This window comes from Homo sapiens, chromosome 10 (genome assembly GCF_000001405.40).
Source record: "Homo sapiens chromosome 10, GRCh38.p14 Primary Assembly".
NCBI classification, from domain to species: domain Eukaryota; kingdom Metazoa; phylum Chordata; class Mammalia; order Primates; family Hominidae; genus Homo; species Homo sapiens.
In genome coordinates, this window is record NC_000010.11 from 107,356,620 (window position 1) to 107,376,399 (window position 19,780).

General features: G+C 37.1%; 2 long non-coding RNA genes across 2 annotated transcripts in view; one reads left to right on the plus strand and one right to left on the minus strand.

Annotated features, from left to right (window-relative positions):
* Window positions 1–6,626: 6,626 nt before the first annotated feature.
* On the minus strand, window positions 6,627–19,773 carry LOC105378475 (uncharacterized). Its single transcript, XR_946304.3, has 3 exons — window positions 19,480–19,773; window positions 12,551–12,586; window positions 6,627–6,816 (listed from the first exon to the last, which is right to left on the minus strand). It is a non-coding gene; the product is annotated as an uncharacterized LOC105378475 (long non-coding RNA).
* LOC105378474 (uncharacterized) overlaps window positions 11,208–19,780 on the plus strand; it is a 37,010-nt gene continuing 28,437 nt past the window's right edge. Inside the window, exon 1 of the long non-coding RNA XR_946303.1 lies at window positions 11,208–11,314. This is a non-coding gene — a long non-coding RNA (uncharacterized LOC105378474). The remainder of the gene's footprint in view (window positions 11,315–19,780) is intronic.

Here is a 19,780-nt window from a genome sequence, read left to right on the forward strand (position 1 = left end):
TCATGTCTCCTTAACGTGGTTTAGCATTTTTCTGATGGGTTGCCATCATGCAGATGTCTTAACAATATTCCCCTCTCATTTTATCTCTGTCTTTTCTTCAGTGTGGCACAAATATATGAATGTGTGTCAGTTAAACAAGGAGCCTTAACAAACCAAATGTCAGTCCCTGGAAATTTGAAATGGAAAGTTAAATGCAGCCCAAATCCAGAGAGCCTTTGGTATTTTTGGATTGTTTAAAACTTACTTTGTAAGGATTCATACAGAAAAAGTTGCTTTTATACCATCATTAAGAAGTAATAATGTAAATCTCTCCCCCCAGGTTAAAACAGAAATTAAGCAGGTAATACTGCTCATCTTTCTTTTCCTAACAGCTCTTTTTGCTTGGCTTGGTATTCCTTCTAAGGAATAAACGAACAAAATAGCTTCTATGAAGGACTTAAGATTCAGAAAGGGTGAATGATTTACAAAAAGTTAAAAAATGGACCTCATGGAATCAAGATTCCAAAACAATTCTTCTAATGTTCCTTTTTTTACACTGGGCTCACATGTATAATTAGCCTTATGTTGAATCTTGTCATGTGTGTTATTCTTGACTCTTTACATAAAACATGTGTTAGTTTTCCAGTGCTGCCATAACAAAATGCCTCAAACTGGGAAGCTTAAAACAACAGACATTTATCATCTCACACTTTTGGAGACTAGATGTCTGAAATTAAGTTGTTGGCAGGGCCATGATTCCTTTGAAAGCCTATAGGGAAGAGTCCTCTTTACCTCTTAGCACCAGCAAAGGCCATCAATCCTAGCATTCATTGACTTGCAGTGGCATCTCTGCGTTTGCCATCACATGGAATTCTCCCTGCTTTCCTATCTTTCCATAGTTGTCTTCTTAAAGCAACACCAGTCATACTGGATTGAGGTCCACCCTGGTGATCTCATCTCAAGTTGACTAAATTTGCGAAGACTCTATTTCCAATTAAAGTCACATTCACAGGTATTAGTGATTAGGATTTCAACATATCTTTTTCTGAGGACACAATTCAATCCATAACATACAAGTCCTTTATAGAAAAAGAAGGTGTTCCTGGTCCTCTTCAGGATCACCTGGGTCTTCCAGCATAATGTTGATCACATTAATATTTGATGTTTGGTACAGAACATTGATTTTGTAGAATATTGAACGTAAAAAGACTCATAGATGAGAAAACATCTTTAGACAGATGAATAACAAATCTGGGAGATGCTCAAGTATATTAAGACCCATCCATTAATGGAAGAACAAGATTCTTGTACAAAGAGTTAAGCAATCTGGGCTTTGGCCCTATCTGTGGGATAACTTAACTATTTTGAAGACCTTGTAACAATGTTTCTTCATCAATCATAAAACATATCTCTTCTGCCTATTTAATTGAATATTGTGATTACAAAAATATAATAGACCTGAAAAATGTTTAATGCCATGCAAATTCCTAGGTATCAGTATTAATCCGATCCTGTGTTGCCACAGTGCTCTCTTATGTCTTGGAAAAATTACGAAGGCATAGCAGATGGTTGGTGTTCTTTCTAGGTTCACTTGGATCTATTTTATTTTCTGGGCCTCTAAACCATATTTTAGCTTCAGTGAGCTTTGCACTTATGGGTTTCCACCCACGACTTTCTTCAGAGTATGCCCTTGGGTATAGAGACACTTTACTTTCGTGAACATCCAGAAAGTCCTGGGGGTTATACCATGCCCTCTGTTCTACAGAAGCTCACAGCCAATAAATACTTGGTTAGGGAATACAAGAGCCCAGCTTTCTTTTATCAATGTGGGATGAACTGAAAAATTTAAACCCTAGAGCTTCTCATGTGATCAGACTGAGGATGGAGCTTCAGTTGAAATTAGTCTTAGTTTGGTTTCTTCCTTTTCATTAATGTACTTTTCACCATTCACTTACTGGTTTAATCTTGTGGTATTCCCTTAACAAAATATTTGAACATGTATTCTAACTCTCTAACTCTGATGGCTTCTTTAGACAATATGACTTAAGATACTTTTTTCTGTGTGTGTGGCACAGCCTCACTCTGTCACCCAGGCTGGATGGAGTACAGGCTGGATGGTACGATTATGGCTCACTGTAGCCTCAACTTCCTAGGCTCAAGCAATCCTCCCACCTCAGCCTACTGAGTAGCTGGGACTATAGGCATGCATCACCATGCCTGGCTAATTTTTCTTTCTTTCTTTTTTTTTTTCTCACTATGTTGCCCAGGTTTTTCTCAAACTCCTGGCCTCAAGTGATCCTCCTGCTTCAACCTCCCAAAGTGCTGGGTGGGATTACGGGCATGAGCCACTATTCCCAGTCAGCCAACAGTTGGTACTTCTAAGAATAGGATTCTGGAGTTGGTGCACTCGTCGACTAACTGGCAATGAAAAATCCAACATGGGTGGAGAGTGGAACGGTGATAGCCACTGGCATGCTGCAGCATTACAATTGCTGAGGCTTTTATCTCTGTTTGACTGGGATGGGATACTGATGGAAGAGGTAGTGCAGTATCTCTGGGACTTGTGAGATATGAGGAAAATAGTAATTATAAGGACACTGGGGTTGAGTGACTGCTGCTGAGCACCACTGAAGCTCTGAGAGAGAAAATGGCAAATGTGACCAGTTAACAACATGAGGCAATATATCAAATCCTGGTGGTTTACATGGCAGCATTTAAAGTGTCCTTTACCAGTAACCAGAGAGAAAAATGTAGTGACCACCAAGATGGGACTTAATTGTAGAAATTGCAGAACCTGAAAAAAGGCTGAATTTGCAGGGTTGGTAGCTCTGCCAAATCAGGCCCCTGAAAGGAAATAAGTGGAACCCTTAAACGCAGGATGAGAATATTTGGTTGGGCTTGTGAATGTTGACCCTCCAGATTCCCCAGAAGACTTTGGACCTGGAGAAGAAGTTTGCTTCCCCTGTTTGAGACTGTAGTCCATATTTTAGCTAAAGAGTATGCAGCGACCTCAAACGAGGCAGATACCTACAAGGTCCATCCTCTGGATGTCAGAACAACAACCAAGGTCAAGTCTTAACATGGCCTTATTGGAGAAGTACTGTGCCCGCTAAGGAGAGAGGGGTTTATATTTAGAGATTATACACTGAAGAAGACCTGCATAATATATCCAGGTGGGAGCTGAATAATAATACCTTGACAGTAGATCTTGTCTATATAGGGACCCTCTCCTAAAATTTAGGACTTGATACCCAACCCAGCACCCCTGGAACTGGTTCTAACATGCTTCTAGGATGGCTACTAGAAGGTTGGAAAAACTAGTGGCTCACATTAAATGAAATAGATATGCCAGAATTACTTTGGCAGGGTAGCTAGGTAGAGATCAAGGATTCAGATAAGTTGAAATGCTAAAATACCTATTAATATTACATAAGACTTAAAGTGTCATCATCAAGTCATGTTATCGAAGAGGGTGCAAAAGATATTCCTCTGCTAAAATGGTAAGAAGCATGCTGGAGGAGAATGCATTGACACCGGTGAGCAGTCCAGCTATGGACTGCTCTTTTTAAGCCAGAGATGATAGTAGGAGATGCTGTTAAAAAACTGGGCTCCCTAGTTTCACTGGCATAGATAGGATTCTAGAATGGCAGAAGCCAGGGTTAGAACATAAATATCAGAGGAACGGTGGGCATAATTATCATAGACATTCAGTGGGCCTTGATTTGTGGAGATGGCTGACAAATCATGTATTCTTCAGTTCAAAAAAGATGGGCAGTTGAATATCTGACAAGAAATTGCCATATATATATATATGAAATGAAATATTCTAAAATTATATATAATAAAATATTCTTATATATAAAATAAATTATATATATAATAAAAATAAATAAATAATAGATTAACAGAAGGTTTGTGTCAGATGTGCCAATGAAACGCATTATACCTTGCCTGGTTTCCAGATCTGAGCTAATTCTCAGACACAAAACAAACCACTTGAAAGAGAGGTGAATACATCTTGAGAAACAAACAAACAAAACCTGTAGTAGCTTAGCAAGCGCAATGGCAGTGATTCTAAAAGTCGATATTCCTTGAATTACCAAATTAACTGTACATAAGAGGAAGCAGGAAAGCAGGATACTTCGATCTCTACAGAGCCAGTTAGATGCAAGGGCTAGCCTGAAACATGGAGAAATAAAATTTTATAAGGCTCAACAGTGGCGTCAACTTTGCAGGAAAATGATGCGGAAATATGTGATCAAACATTATTCTGGATATTTCTGCCAGGATCATTTTGAATAAGATTAATATTTAAACTGGTAGACATAGAGTAAAACACATTGCTTTTCATGATGTGGGTAAGTTTCATCCCATGAGTTTAGGCCTGAATAGAAAAAAAAGACTGATTTCCCTGGAGCAAGAATGGCTGGCAGAGGCTTTCACAGTGGAACTGCAACACTGTTTCTTCCGAGGTCTCCAGCCTGCTGGCTCACCTTGCAGATTTTGGACTTTCTATTCCTATCCTATTTCTTCTCTTTCTTGGGAGACTCCTGACTAATACAGGCTCCTTCCAATAAAGTGAAGTGTATGGGGTTCAAGTAATGAGTAGAATCCAGGCCTGGGTCAGTGTCATAGGTAGTTCTTAGATGTCTAATTTTAATGCTGGAAAATCTGAAATCATTCAAGAGATGCTCTATGGTAACACTGAGTTTGTAAGACAAGTTCAGACACTAGGAGAAAAAAGCACTTTCAGGGACCCCTGATAAAGTAAGAGCACCTGAGGGTCAAGTAACTAGTGGATACCTGGCTTAGACTGTAGCACAGTAATCACTTCTTTGCTTCCCATATACATAATTTTAATGGACATAATTAAAACTTGGCACAAAACTCACATTAGTTCTTTGACATGTTGAAGGAAGAGCTATTGTTGTAGGAAAGGTGAAAGCCTCTGAAAATATGTCTTGGCCATATTAAATCAAAGGCAACTGAATTAGAAAGGCAGAGATTAGTACGATCTTAAAGGACCTGGATAACACAGGAATGGTGGTCCCCATTATTTCTCTCTTTAATTCACCAGTATGACTCCTCAAAAATCCAGATGAGTAGCAATTGACATTATTAGACTACTGTAAACTGAACTAATGAGCAGCTTCAAATGCAGCTCTATGCCAGATAGATAGATAGATAGATAGATAGATAGATAGATAGATAGATAGATTAGTACTGATCAGCCTGGTCTCTGGTTCATAAAATTTGGCTCTTGAAATGCTTCATATGTTGTTTCCAACAATCATCATTACAGGGGAATTACAAGAGTTTCACATTTGCCTGGAATGAACAACAGTAAACATTCACTCTCTTGCCTCAGGGTTGTGCTATCCCCTTACTTTGTAACAGTAGAGCCTGAAAGGTCCCAGATCATCTGGATATCCCAAAGACTTTCATGATGATCAACTGTATTAATAACCTTAAACCTATTGAACAAGAAGTATGAAGTGCTTTGGGAGCACTGATAACACATGTGTACACCAAATGGTAGGAGATAAACTGTACAACTATTTAGGGTTCTGACACATTAGAAAAGTTTTGATTTTTTAACCTTTTTTTAGAGATGGGGGCCTCAATATGTTGTTCAGATTGTCCTTGAACTCCTTACTGTGCTTAAACAATCTTCCTACCTCAACCTCCCTAGTAGCTGGGACTACAGGCATACATAACCATGTGCCCAGCTCAGAAAAGCTTTTAGGGCTCAAGTGGTTTGGGGCATTGATGAGACAGCACTCCAAAGTAAGTGACAAGTTACTGCATTTGAATCTTTGTATCACAAGAAAAGGAACACAGAAGTTGTTAGACCAATTCAAGTTCAAATACTGCACTTAGAAATACTGCTATGTCTCATTTACACAGTGAGGCTGATAGCAGCCAGCTGTGCATGAGGGCCAGGGGAAGAAAGGGATTGGCATTAGGTATAGGCTGTGATAAAAGCAGCCCTGTTTCTAGGACTATATGACCCAGTGAATATTATAGTAATTGATCTTCATTGGATAAATAAAGGCACTGTATAGATCTCCTGAAAGACCCAATAAGAAAGGCAGAAGCCTAGGGTTCGGGAAAAAAAGCATATATTCTGTAACAGATAATTGTTAACCATTTAAATAGCAGCTTCTGATGACCTACTGGGCTATGGTAGAGAAAAAGTAACTGGCCATGATATAGCAAGTGATATGGTTTGGCTTTGTGTCCCCACCCAAATCTCCTCTTCAATTTTAATCTCATAATCCCCATGTGTCATGGGAGGGACCTGATGGGAGGTAATTGAATTATGCTGGTGGTTTTCTCTGTACTGTTCTCTTGATAGAGAGTGAATTCTCATGAGATTTGATGGTTTTTTAAGCATCTGGCATTTCCCTGCTGGCACTCATTCCCTCTTCTCATCCCTGTGAAGAGATGCCTTCCACCATAGTTTAAAGTGTCCTGAGGCCTTCCCAGCCATGTGGAACTGTGTGTCAATTAAACTTCTTTGCTTTATAAAATACCCTGTCTCTGGTATTTCTTCATAGCAGCATGAGAACGGACTAATACCTCAAGTGAACATAACCAGTGTTGTCCATCACGAGCTGAGAGCTTTCATATCCACAATCATAAGAATCAGGCAGGACCAATAATAATTTATTATACAGTTAAAGCAGCATATCAGGAATCAGCCCTCAGTAGGATGAAATGGCCCTAGTAAGCTGCGTGAAAAAAGAGGAACAGATTCCCATGTGACCCACCATTGTTGCACCAGTGCTGCTCCTATAAACTTCCATTGGCTTCTGAAAGATTCTGCATGACAGTCTGAAAGAGGAGGAAAAATATGTCCAGGCTTTGTTCACTAATGGGCTATGTGGGTAAATTATTCTAAGGCAACAATAATAGATTAATGGTGAGCTACATCTTGCCTATGGGTGTCCTTGAAAGACAGTGAAGAAGAGAAATCCTCTCAGTAGGTAAAGCCTAAGGTATTGCACTTTGTGTGGGGGAAAAAGGAAACAGCCCAAGGGAATTCTAGAGAGTAGCAAATGACTGGGTTGTTTTCTCAGAGGCTTGAAGGACTGTTACTAGAAAATCAATAGGAAAAAGGTTCTGGAAAGAAGTATAGGGATGATATATGGGGAATTCACAAAGTATAAGGATCTTTGCATCACATTTTAATTTCCCCCAAAAATAATGCATTTCAGAAGAGGAATATGGACAGATTTATATAGAAACATGACAGATTTATCATATGCAACTTGTATACCTAAACCCTGGTTACATTCTTTGTAAAGGCCTAGAAGACACTTCCTTCAATTGGAAGGTTGATAAATATATCAATGAGAGGAATACAATGAAACTTGAATCACTGTATTTTCTCTTCTTTGTAGGCTAGATATGACCATGGGTAATTTCTCCAATTAGATAAACGTTCTCATTTTACTGGTAATGACACAGGGCAGGTCAACCCCCAAATTGGGCTTAACCCAGGAGAGTTGTTGGCTTCACCCAGGAAAGAATTCAAGGGTGAGTTGGTGGTATTAAAACAGCAACTTTTATGGAAGCAGCTTGTTTACAGCAGCAGCAGAGGTACTACTCTTTGTGGAGCAGGGCAACCCCACAGGTGTGTGCCTACAGTAGCTGTTTAGTTCTGCAGTCATATTTGTACAAACTTTTAATTATAAATAAATTAAGTAATGGATTACGCAGAAATTTATAGAAAAAGTTGGTAACTTCTGGGTCACTGTGTCATTGCCATGGAAAAGGGTGGTAACTTCCAGGTGTTGCCATTGTCCTGGCATCTCGTATGGGGAGATGCTTTCACCTCTTCCCTGTCTTCTCTAGTCCTGAATCTGGTCCACTGTCTGAGCCCTGCCTCCAGAGTTGAGTCCCACCTTCTACAGTGGATGGTATTCTGGAGTAGCAGAGGCAAGGTGGCACAGACAAAATGGACACATTTATTATTTTAAAAAGGAAGCAAAAAGGTATAGATAATCAGGATTGTTTTAAGCTTCAGAGACCTGTGGGTATGGTTATTTGAAAACAATTTTCTTAGGAATTATATAGATAGGAAATCAACCAGAATATATTTCTCAAATCTATATAATACAAATATTCCAGGTCTAGTAGCCCAAATCCTGATTTAACTTATCACAATTGAAAGTCATAATATCTCTCCTAGTTTTCAGACTCAAGCTAATTGATATATACATCGCTTTCCATACATTTTTTTATGATGAGACATCTAAAATTTACTGTTATTTTGAAATGAATGTTATTATTGACTCCAATGACCCTACTGTGCAACAGATCTCAAAATCTATTTCTCTTTTCTACCTGAATCTTTGTATCTATTGACTGACAATTCTCCATTCCTTCGCTCCCTATCCCTCCAACCTCTAGTAACCATCATTATGATCTATTTGTCTGTAAGTTAAACTTTATTGGATTTTATATATACATGACGTAATGTGGTATTTGTCTTTCTGTGCTTGGCTTATTTCACTTAGCATAATGTCCTCTGATTCATTCATGTTGTCACAAATGACAGGATTTACCCCTTCTTAAGGCTGAGCAGTATTTCATTGTGAATATATACCACATCTTTAATCTGTTCATCCGTGGATAAACAGTTAGGTTGACTCCATATCTTGGCTATTGTGAATACTGCTACAATGAACATGAGAGTGCAGATATGCCTCTGAAATACTGAGTTCAGTTCCTTTGGATATATACCTAGAAGTGGGATTAGTGGATAATATGTTAGCTCTCTTTTTAGTTTTTTGAAGAACCTCCATACAGTTTTCATAATGGTTGTACTAATTTTCATTCCCACAAACAACAATGTATAAGAGTTCCCTTTGCTCTGTATTCTCTCCAACACTATCTTTCATCTTTTTGCTAAAAGTCATTCTAGCATGTGAGGTGATATCTTACTGTGGTTTTAATTTGCATTTTTCTAATGATTAGTGTTGCTAAACATGTTTTTAAAAATGTACCTGTTTGCCATTTGTATGTCTTCTTTTGAGAAATACATGCTCAGGCCTTTTGCCCATTTTTAAAGTCAGGTTGTTTTCTTACTATTGAGTTGTTTCAGTTCCATGTATATTTTGGATATTAACCGTTTATCAGATACACAGTTTGCAAATATTTGCTGCTATTCTGTGGGCCAGCTCTTCACTTTCTTAATTCCTCCCTTTGATGTACAGAAGCTTTTTAGTTTGATGCCATCCCATTTTCTGTTTTTGCTTTTTTTGTCTGTGCTTTTGGGGTTATATCCTAAAAATTATTGCACAGACCAAAGTCTTGAGGGTTTTCTCCTGTTTTCTTCTAGTAGTTTTACCAGTTTCAGGTGTTGTATTTAAATCTTTAATATATTTTGAGGTTTGTTTTTTGTAAATGGTGTAAAATAAGCGTCTAATTTTATTCTCCTGCATGTGGATATCCAGTTTTCCCAACATCATTTATTGAAGACTGTGTCTTTTCCCCATTTTGTGTTCTCGGCATCTTTGCCAAAAGTCAATTGATTATAAATGCATGGGTTTATTTGTAGGTTTTCTCTTCTCTTCCATTGGTCAGTGTACCTGTTTCTGTGCCAGTACCATGCTGTTGTGATTATAATTGCTTTATAATATTTGTTTGAAACTGAGGAATGTGATGCCTCCAGCTTTGCTCTTTTTGCTTAAGATTGTTTTGACTCTTGAAGTCTTATGTGGTTCCATATGAATTTAGGTATAGTTTTTTTTTCTGTGAAAAATGACGTTAGAATTTTAATATGGATTACATTGAATCTGTAGACCACTTGGGTAGTATGGATTTTTTCACAACATTATTTTTTCTAATCCATGAACACAGTATATCTTTCCATTAATTTGTGTTTTCTTCAATTTATTTAATTAGTGTTTAATAGTTTTCAGTATATAGGTCTTTTATCATCTTGTTTAAATTGACATGTAAGTATTTATTTTGTTCCTATTGTAAATGGAATTGTTTTCTTAATTTCCCCTTTGGATAGTTTGTATTTATTATACAGAATGCTACTGATTTTTGTAGGTTGATTTTGTATCCTGTAAGTTTGCTGAATTTATCAGTTTTAATAGTTGTGTGTGTGTGTGTGTGTGTGTGTGTATGGAGCCTTTGTGTTTTTCTCTATATAAGATCATGTTGTCAGAAAATAGAAAGAGCTTCATATAAGTATATACTTTAAGTCTTCCTTTGTACCTTCCCCAAAGGGAACTATGACACTACTCCAGGAACCGTGTACTGTACCAAAGGGATTATCCAGACATGTTTGATATTACCACACACTGGCTCTGAAATAACATTAATTTCTCATACCCCAAAATGCCACCATAGATAAATGCCACCATAGATAACCAAAGTCGTGACTGTGGTGGTCTTAGTTCACATTCAATTTACAGTCAGCTCAATTGTTCTACAGACCTATCCTGTGGCTATTTCCCTAATTCCTGAATGTATGATTAGAATAGATATACTTGACAATTGGTGGAATTCTCACATGGGATCTCTCACCCATGGGATAAGAGCCATTATAATAGAAGGGCTGAGCAGAAGCCCCTGGAATTTTCTCTCCATTACAAAATAGCAAACAAGGAACAATGGTATATCCCTTGGAGAATAACAGATTAGTGCCACCACTAAAGACTTGAGAGACACAGTGTTGATGTAATCATCAACACTTCTTTAACTTACTGTTTTCCCTGTGAATAAATCAGATGGATCTTGGGAAATGACTGTGGGCTATGTTGAGCCTAATTAGGTAGTAACTCCAGATTTAGATTTACTAGGGTATATCAGCACAGATTTTGACAGTTGATAGTGAGTCATTGATCCAGCTAATTATTTTTTCTTCATTCTAATTTGTAAGAATCACCAAGAAGCAATTTTATTTTACTGGGATAGATGGGTAGAAATCACGCACTCAAATACATTGTATGTTGCCTTCACAATCTAAAAAGGCCAATCACACAGTGTGCTTCTTTTATGTGGTAGATAATGCGAGGGGTAGTACCTGGTCTTCAGCTTCTGGGATGCTTCAGGCGCCTCTGCATCTATCCATTACCATGTCTGATCATTAGTGACTTACTGTTGATTCACAATCAGGCATCTGGTGGTGGGCCTGGAGGTGCTGTTGGTAAGCAGGGGACTCAGTCTAAAAGACAAAGTGGGCCTAGAGGAGTAAGGCACTAGAGCAAGCAGGGATCTGCAGGGGTGTTTCTACATCTGTCCATCACCATACCAACCTGTGAAAAACTCTTGAGAGATATTTACTGCTTCATCTCTGCCTTCCAGGTTTCATGTAAGTTCTTCTATTCATCATCTTTAATCCAGAACAATGCAGAAAAGAGGGGGGTGGGGTTCGGAGAAACATAGATCCCAGACTTAGCCAAGTTGTCATAGCATAGTCCGGTACACAATTTTTCTTTTTCTTGGCTTATTCAATTAGTTGTCAGCAGAGGTTTGTTTAAGTTGCACACTGGTATTATGATTTTTTCCATTCTTCCTTTTTGTTCTGTCAATTTCTACTTTATTCCAAAACTATGCTATTGGGTAAATTAGAATTTGATATTGCCTTGTTGCATTAGCCATTTATTATTATGAGATTGTCCTCTTTGTTGTTAGTAATCATGTTCGCATTAAAGTATATTTTATCTGATATTTATTTACTGGCTTTTCCTGCAAAAACTGATCCCAGGCCTCTAGCAGACAGTAGATCCACTGAGGTGTCAGCTGCTTCTCACAGATGCACAGCTTCCCACAGACCTCTTCATGAGCCCCCTATATGTGATCCCATGTTGGTGGGTGAAAATGCTTGGCTTTTAAAAATTTCCCTGTAGGTTCCAACTTGTCCACCTACAACAGTACTTCAGGCAGACTGAGTAGTGAGTGATTCTTTCTCTGATACTGAATTTCCCTTCCAGATGTTCAGTTCCTTGGCTCCTCCCACCTTATTCCTTTATGTCCATAATACTTTTGATGGCTGTTTCTTCCACAGAAACTGAACTGATACAATCAGTAAAGATACAGAAGATGTAAAAGTAACAAGCTTGAACTAATTTGTATATGTGTGTGTGTGTGTGTGTGTGTGTGTGTGTGTATACATGAAGTATAAAGTATATACTTTAAGTCTTCCTTTGTACCTTCCCCAAAGGGAGCCATGACACTACTCCAGCAACTGTTGCATATGTGTGTGTAACAATGTATGATGCAAAGCTGTACTCCATAATGACAAACTTCACATAATGTGATCATCTCAACAGACGGAGCCAACACTTTTGGCAAAATGCAGCACTTTTGAATGATAAAACTCTTAGTAAACTAATAATAGAACTTCTCTATCTAATCAGATATGTCTAAAATCATGAATAGTAATAAAATGATGAAAATTTTGTATCTATGAGAAGAAGAAAATATAGAAATCTGATTTCAATTATTCTATTTAATATTTTGCTAAAGGGCCACCCAGTGGAATAAGGCAGGGAAAACAAAATAAAATAAGAATGGGAAGATAGAAAATAAAGCAGTTATTACTTACAGAATCAATAATTGTGTATTGTCAATCCAAAAGAATCTATAAACAAATTTAAGATGAATAAATGATGTTAATAAGATGTCAGAGCACCAGGCTAATAAAAATCCATTTTACTTCTATGACTTTTTCAACAAAAAATGAAAAACACACATGTATAATACCACACAAAAAAGAATATGTCTAGAAAATAAAACAAAATATGTACATGATTTCTACTCTGAAAAATTACAGATCTTCACTGAAAGTAATTAAAAAAGACTGCAATAAATACAGGGGAATATCCTGTTTGAGGACTGAAAGACTCAATAGTGTAAAAATGCTAATTCACCCAAACTCAATCTGAATCAAAGTTATATATTTTATGTTGCATTTCCTTGTATTGAGGACATTCCAAATCTTTCTTCTAGCTATTTTGAAATATACAATAAATGATTGTTAACCATAGTAACCCTACTGTGCTGTTGAACACTACAACTTTTTCCTTCTATCTAACTGTGTATTTGTACCCATTAACCAACCTCTCTGTGTTCTTCCTTTTCCCTACCTTTCTGAACCTCTGGTAACGACTATTCTACTCTCTACATCCATGACATCAACTTTAAAATTCTGCATATGAGTGAGAACTTGTGATATTTGTCTTTCTGTGCCTGACATATTTCATTTAATATAATATCCTCCAGTTCCATCTGTGATAAATGTTTCAGGTGATGGAAATTCCATTTACCTTGATTTGATCACTATACATTGTTTGCATGTATCAAAACATCACATACACCCCAGAACTAGGTATAATTTTTACATATTAAAAAATCAAAAATAAAAGTAACTATAAAAATGATACAAAAATTTTCTTACATCAAACCAAGTATCAAATTCATATAGAAGTGCACATATTCAAAAGTAGTTAAGGCAATCTTGACAAAGACAGCCAGAGGACTTATACTACCAAATAGAAAGGCTCATCATAGGGAGTGCATGAGGTAATGTCCTACTGACACAAGGCTAGACAACTGAGCAGGGAACAGAATATAACCCAGTAACAGTTCTGCAGAATTACAGTTAAACAATTTATGACAGAAGTGAGACTTTAGTGAGGAAAGGATGCTGTTTTTCTTTAACTAATGCATGGTGCTGCTTCAATAGATAGACAAAAAGAATATGGAAAAAATGTATTTCATCTGTTCTTCACACCATTTACAAACATTAGCCTTTTAGAGGAAAATAGAGAATGTCTTGATGACATCAACGTGGGTAAATCTATGAGACAGTACACAGAGTTTGCTATCCAAAGAAGAAAAAAATGACAAATTTAAGAAATCCTCTTTATGAAAAGGTACCAATAAGAGAGTGAAAGTTCAATCCAGAAAGATAGAGAATACATTTATAATACATATACCTGCTAAAGGACTTGTATTCATTACATATATATATATATATACACACACACACACACACACGTACATATATGTATACACACACTTGCATATATATGTAGACAAACATATATATATGTACATAACTTTTACAAATCAATAAAAAATGAGAAAAAAGTTGAAGATTGGGCAAAAAACACTAGCAGGCATGTCACAAAGGACACGTTTTAATAACAAATCCATGAGAAGATGCAGCTTTAGTAATTAGTAGTAAATACAAATTAAAAATATAAGAAATTTTTAATACTTTACTTACACCAAAATAAGCAAAATGATAAAGCTAAAAAATATCAAGCGTTCTAGAAGCTGTGAAGCCCCCAGAACTCTCATGTACTATAGTGGGAGTATAAATTGGTTCATTCACATCAGAAAACTTTTTGTCAGTATCCAGCAAAGTTAGACATATATATGTATGAGTATTCACATACGTATATATTTTAGATACATTCCATTCTTATCTATGTTATTCTAAATAATGTGTATACATATAAATTATGAGATATGTACTAGAATGTTCACAGCAGCATTACTTGTAAAGGCCAAGAACTGGAAACAACCGGAAAGCTAATCAACAGTTGAATGCATGATGATGAAATACTTTAAAGCAAGGAGAATGAACAGTCTATAATTATATACAATATTGATAAATTACATGCACAAACTGTTGAACAAAAGAAACTAAACTATATCCTATGGTTTGTACAAAAAGTTTACACTCATATAAAGTTCAATAGTAGTCAAAACTAATCCAGAGGTGAGGGTAGTATTCATCCAAGTGAACCCAGTGGCTAGAAGTAAACATAAGAAGAGTATGTTGGTGCCAGTAATGGTCTGTTCCTTGATCAGGGTGACACATTACGTTTGTGAAAATCCACGAGCTTTGCACTTATGTATCCATGTAGTTTTCCAAATCTGCATTACATGTCTAATTTTTATGCCACAGAGTACGTGCCACCTAAAAACAAAAGCTAACTTGCTAAGCTCTAAGAGGTAGAATTAATCTTTGGTGAGGTAAATCCAATGCATGCTGCATTATATTACCTAGCTTTCCCTGAACGTAAAACTACAGCGTGACAAGATAGTGCAGTCTGTTATCGTGAAGCAGATAAGGTAAATGTGGTCCTTCCTCTTACAGTATGAGCCTTCATGATGACACCAAATCTATCCAGAGACAAATGTTCAAGTGGCCGAGGAGCAACATTCCTAGATCTTTCTACCTCCTATAGTCAAAAATCAGAATAGCAAAATGCATCTCAGTATTTCCCTCTACTGTATAAGGAGGAGCTAAATCTGCCATCTGCTCTTCTTTTGTTCTGAGCTAGATCATATTCTTATTTCTTTTGATTATTGCTCCTATTTATGCTCTGCAACACAGATGAACTTATAGATGAGAAAGAAGGGCTATTATTCCCCTAGAAAGGGGAAAAGCAAAATCCATTTAGAAATATTTCTTAAATAGTGGTCTGTGGTTGATGAATTATGCATGCAGTAAGCAGCGACACTCCAGCTCTCATAACCAGAGGGGAAAGCTGCAGTCCTCACTTTCCGGCTCAACTGAACAGGGGCCCTGGCTGCCAGGGAATGACAAGTCATCTCATTTAAAAATCGTACTCTTTCCTGAAAAACCAAATGGAAGTTTAAATCAGGTAAAACGTGGCACCCTAGGAGCTATCTCCAGTAATTTGGCATTGTTACACACACTCATACAATGAGATTGAAAGCACTTTGCTGTGAAAATGTGGAAACCTGGGGTCTTAGCCCAGTGCTGTCACAAATTAGTCATTTGACCTTGCTGTTTACCCAGACAGGGCCTCAGTTTCCATATCTGAAACTAACCAAAATTTAGATTAAAAGATCTCTAGGTCTCATCTTCCTTTAACAATCTTTAATAAGGGAAGCATACTTTTATAGCAACATGTATATTATTAAATAATTTCCATGTGAGAGGATAATTAAGCTAGTAATATTAAGCTTCTCCTCTGTGTTCCAGATGTGTAATAGACGTTTAACACAAAAGTAGTATTATCGTTGCCATAATCCGTTCCAGGGTTTTCTGTCTAGCATTTAATGATGATGGACATCTTTGAAAATATGAAAAAAGTCATATGTTTTGCATATTACTCCATATTTTGTTTCACAGATGGATATATTTTTTCTCATTAGCATTACATTGGCTGTAGAAAAGGACTGCGTGGTTTTTAGACACATGCAAATGCTACTTAATGAGCACACCTTATTCTCCTTCCTTGTTTTCTGGTATTACTAACTAGTGCGGTAACCGTGGACAAATCATTCCCTTTTCCTATGCATTGTTTTCCCATTTCACATATTAATAGAACTTGTTTAGATCCATGTTTCTCAGAGTGTGCTTGGCAAAATACGTCAATCCCCAAAATAGTTCTGTGATCAAACAAATTGGGAAGATCACATATTTCATATCCCCTATATTTTCACCTGGGAAGTAACCATAAATATTCTAAAGGCCTTAAAGAGTTCTGTGATGCAGAAACCTGCTTTATTTCAGAGTTGATCTCAGGTTAATTTATTGAGATAATTTTTTATCCTTGGCTGACAGCCATTAATAATGATCCCTCAGATGAAATGATCTAATCAACTTTCTTGGGGATCCTTCAAACTTGATAATCTCTGATATGGTTTGGCTGTGACCCCACCCAAATCTTATCTTGAATTATAGTTCCCATAATCCCCATGTTTCGTGGAAGGGACCAGGTAGAGACAATTGAATTATGGGAGCACTTTCCCCCATCCTGTTCTCATGATAGTGAGTTAGTTCTTACCAGATCTGATGGTTTTATAAGGGGCCTTCCCTTTCACTGGGCACTAATTCTCTCTCCTGCCACCCTGTGAGGAGTTGCCTTCCGCCACGCTTTTAAGTTTCCTGAGGCCTCCCCAGCCATGTGGAACTGTGAGTCAATGAAACCTCTTTTCTTTATAAATTTCCCAGTCTTGGGAATTTCTTCATAGCAGCATAAGAATGGACTAATACAATCTCCTAGGTTTCTTTTGGTTCACATTTCAATGTAATATGGAAAGGTGGATATTTCTCCAGGTATATTATTTGTCTATTAAAGTGGGCTTGATGTCAATGTTTCTGGTTCTAAATTCAGTTTTGCAATGGCCATTGTGTGACCTGAGGCAAAATCATAATTTCTCTGCGCCTCAGTTTCCTCATCAAAACACTATAAGGATGTTATAAAATAAAAAATAAAAACATAAAACATGTAAAGTGTAACTCAAAATCAGATAGCTTCTCATGATGTAAAAATGAAAACAGAGTGAAGAACTGAGTTTGAAGCCATAATAAGTATGGGAAGTCTTAACCCCATATACATCTAAGGTAACCTCAGATGTGTTCAGTGATTTTTGAAATATTAGAAAGTTGAAGTCTGCTTTGAATCTCAAATGAGATAGTTTTAGGGCAAAAAAAAAAAAAGAACAAAACTAAACTATTAAGCCCTCTGCTCCCCTTCACATAAATGGAAGTCTTTTTGTTTTTTTTTTTTGAAATTGTTACTTTCAAGAATATGCATGCCATTCCTACATAAACAACCAAACAACTATCATACTATAATGGATCATAGGGATTAGAGATATCCATAGAAGAGGAAGGCACAAGAATTCTCAAAGGCAGCCAGTGATGTTTAAAACACAGCTCTGACTTCTGAGAGCTGAAACTAATGGATATCAGAACTGACAGGGCCTCCTTGGTGTTCTAGACACTCTCTTTAGTAGAAACTAAATCCCACCTATAAAATCCTTCAAACATGGTTGTCAAAGACAGGAAATCCTTCCACAATAAATCACTTTTTTCTCTTCTAAAGAGGAGGATATGCTCTTGTATGACCCAATATGTTCTTATAGAAAAAGTTACTTGGGTAGAAAAACAGCTACAGATACTATCTAACAGAAGACATCATAATGACTGATTAAAACAATGCCTGTCTCTGACACACCTCTGAGAGGAGAGCTGTGATACTTAGACAAAGCATATGCTGCTGCCTGAAAATCACTCCTGGTGTAGGACTTCAGGTCATTGTAAGAAATTTTGATATAACAGAGGCTCAAATGGGAGCACTTGTCAAGTTAATGGATTCCTCTGTATCCCAGAAAGAACAGTGAAGGATTCAATAAAGGTTTTATTTTTCCCGTGCTCTTGCTTCACACCCATGATCTCTCTCATCTTTAGCGGGGTTTGGAGAGAGAGCCTATACGTATATATATATCATGGCCCTAAAGCTGCATCTTTGCTTTCCACACAGGTTCCCCTTTATAAATCTCACGTTGCTATTTTAATTTCCCTGTGTGTCTCATATTTTTATGAGACTAAAGCCCCTTGAAAGCAAGGGGCTTTACTTCTCTAGTTATTCTCTCAGCATTTAGGAGGCTGGTCTCAAAGTTTGAGCTGAGTTAAAAAAATACGTATTATCTAACTCCTTATATACATATTTAGAAAGAGAACAAATGAATGAACAAACGATATGTGAATTTATGGAGAAATCCTAGTTTCATTTTTTCAGATTAAATATCTAACATTTTTTAATGAGATGTCAAACTGTATTGGTCAGGGTTTCCCAGAAAAGCAGAAAAAAATATATACTTTAATATATATATGATTTATTAGAGGAATTGACTCATGTGTTTACCGAAGCTGAGAAGTTCCAGGAACTGCCATCCGCAGGCTGGAGAACAGAAAAGCTGGTGGTGTAATGAAGCCCCAGGAACCAGGAGCTCCAATGCTCAGGGCAGGAAAAGATGGATGTCCCAGCTCAAACAGAGAGAGGGAGTGCATTTAACTTTTCTCCACCACTTTGTTCTATTTATGCCCTCAATAGAATGGATGACGCCTGCCCACACTGGTGAAGGTAATCTTCTTTACTAGGGCTACCAATTTAAATGCGAATCTATTTCAGAAACACCATCACAGGTACACTTGGAAGCAATGCTTTGCCAGTTATCTGAGCAACCCTTAACCTAGTCAAGTTGACATAAATTAATCATCACAAGCCCACCCTTTCTCAAACTGGCACCCATACACATCTCCTTAAACTCTACTTCACCTCCAAATAAAGATAGTAACAGTCATAATTTTGCTTGACATAATACAACTATCCTACATTCAACCCAAACCACACTAATCCCTTCCTCAGAAAGGGTAAAGTCCTTGGGTCATGTTTACTATTTTCCTGATAATGTATAAATTAAATATTATGCTGTAAGATTAACAATGCCTAAATAACAATATATAGTCAATACATCTTATATGATAAGTAAATAAGAGGAAGGAATACACAGATATTTGCTTAATAATTGTATATCTCTCAAAACAAGGAAGAAATATTCATGACAATTACAGTCCTCATGTCTGTAACTACTCACATGGTTGTAACTGGTCTTTAAAACTACCTTCATTTACTACCCATTCTGAATTCCCTTTGCCTTCAGCAAGTACTGTAGCTCACTGTTTGTTTGTTTGTTTACCTGGTGGGGTGAAAAAAACCTTTATTCTTGAAGAATCTGGGTCATTTGTAGTCCTGCCTAGGTTGTGGTGGTGGTGTTTTCCATTGACCTTAACCACAGAGCATGGATAGTAACAGACACGCTAAGATATCTCCTGTATTCCAGACACACCCTTTCTTACTTCCATTGTGGAACAGTAGTATGATTTTCCAATGGTAGTTTAGATCAATTACCCTAGCCAACACCATAGTTCTCTTCTCGGCCTGTTGACTCAGAGGCATGAGGAACCCAAAGTGGCCAGGTGGCAGTCTTAACTTTAAGT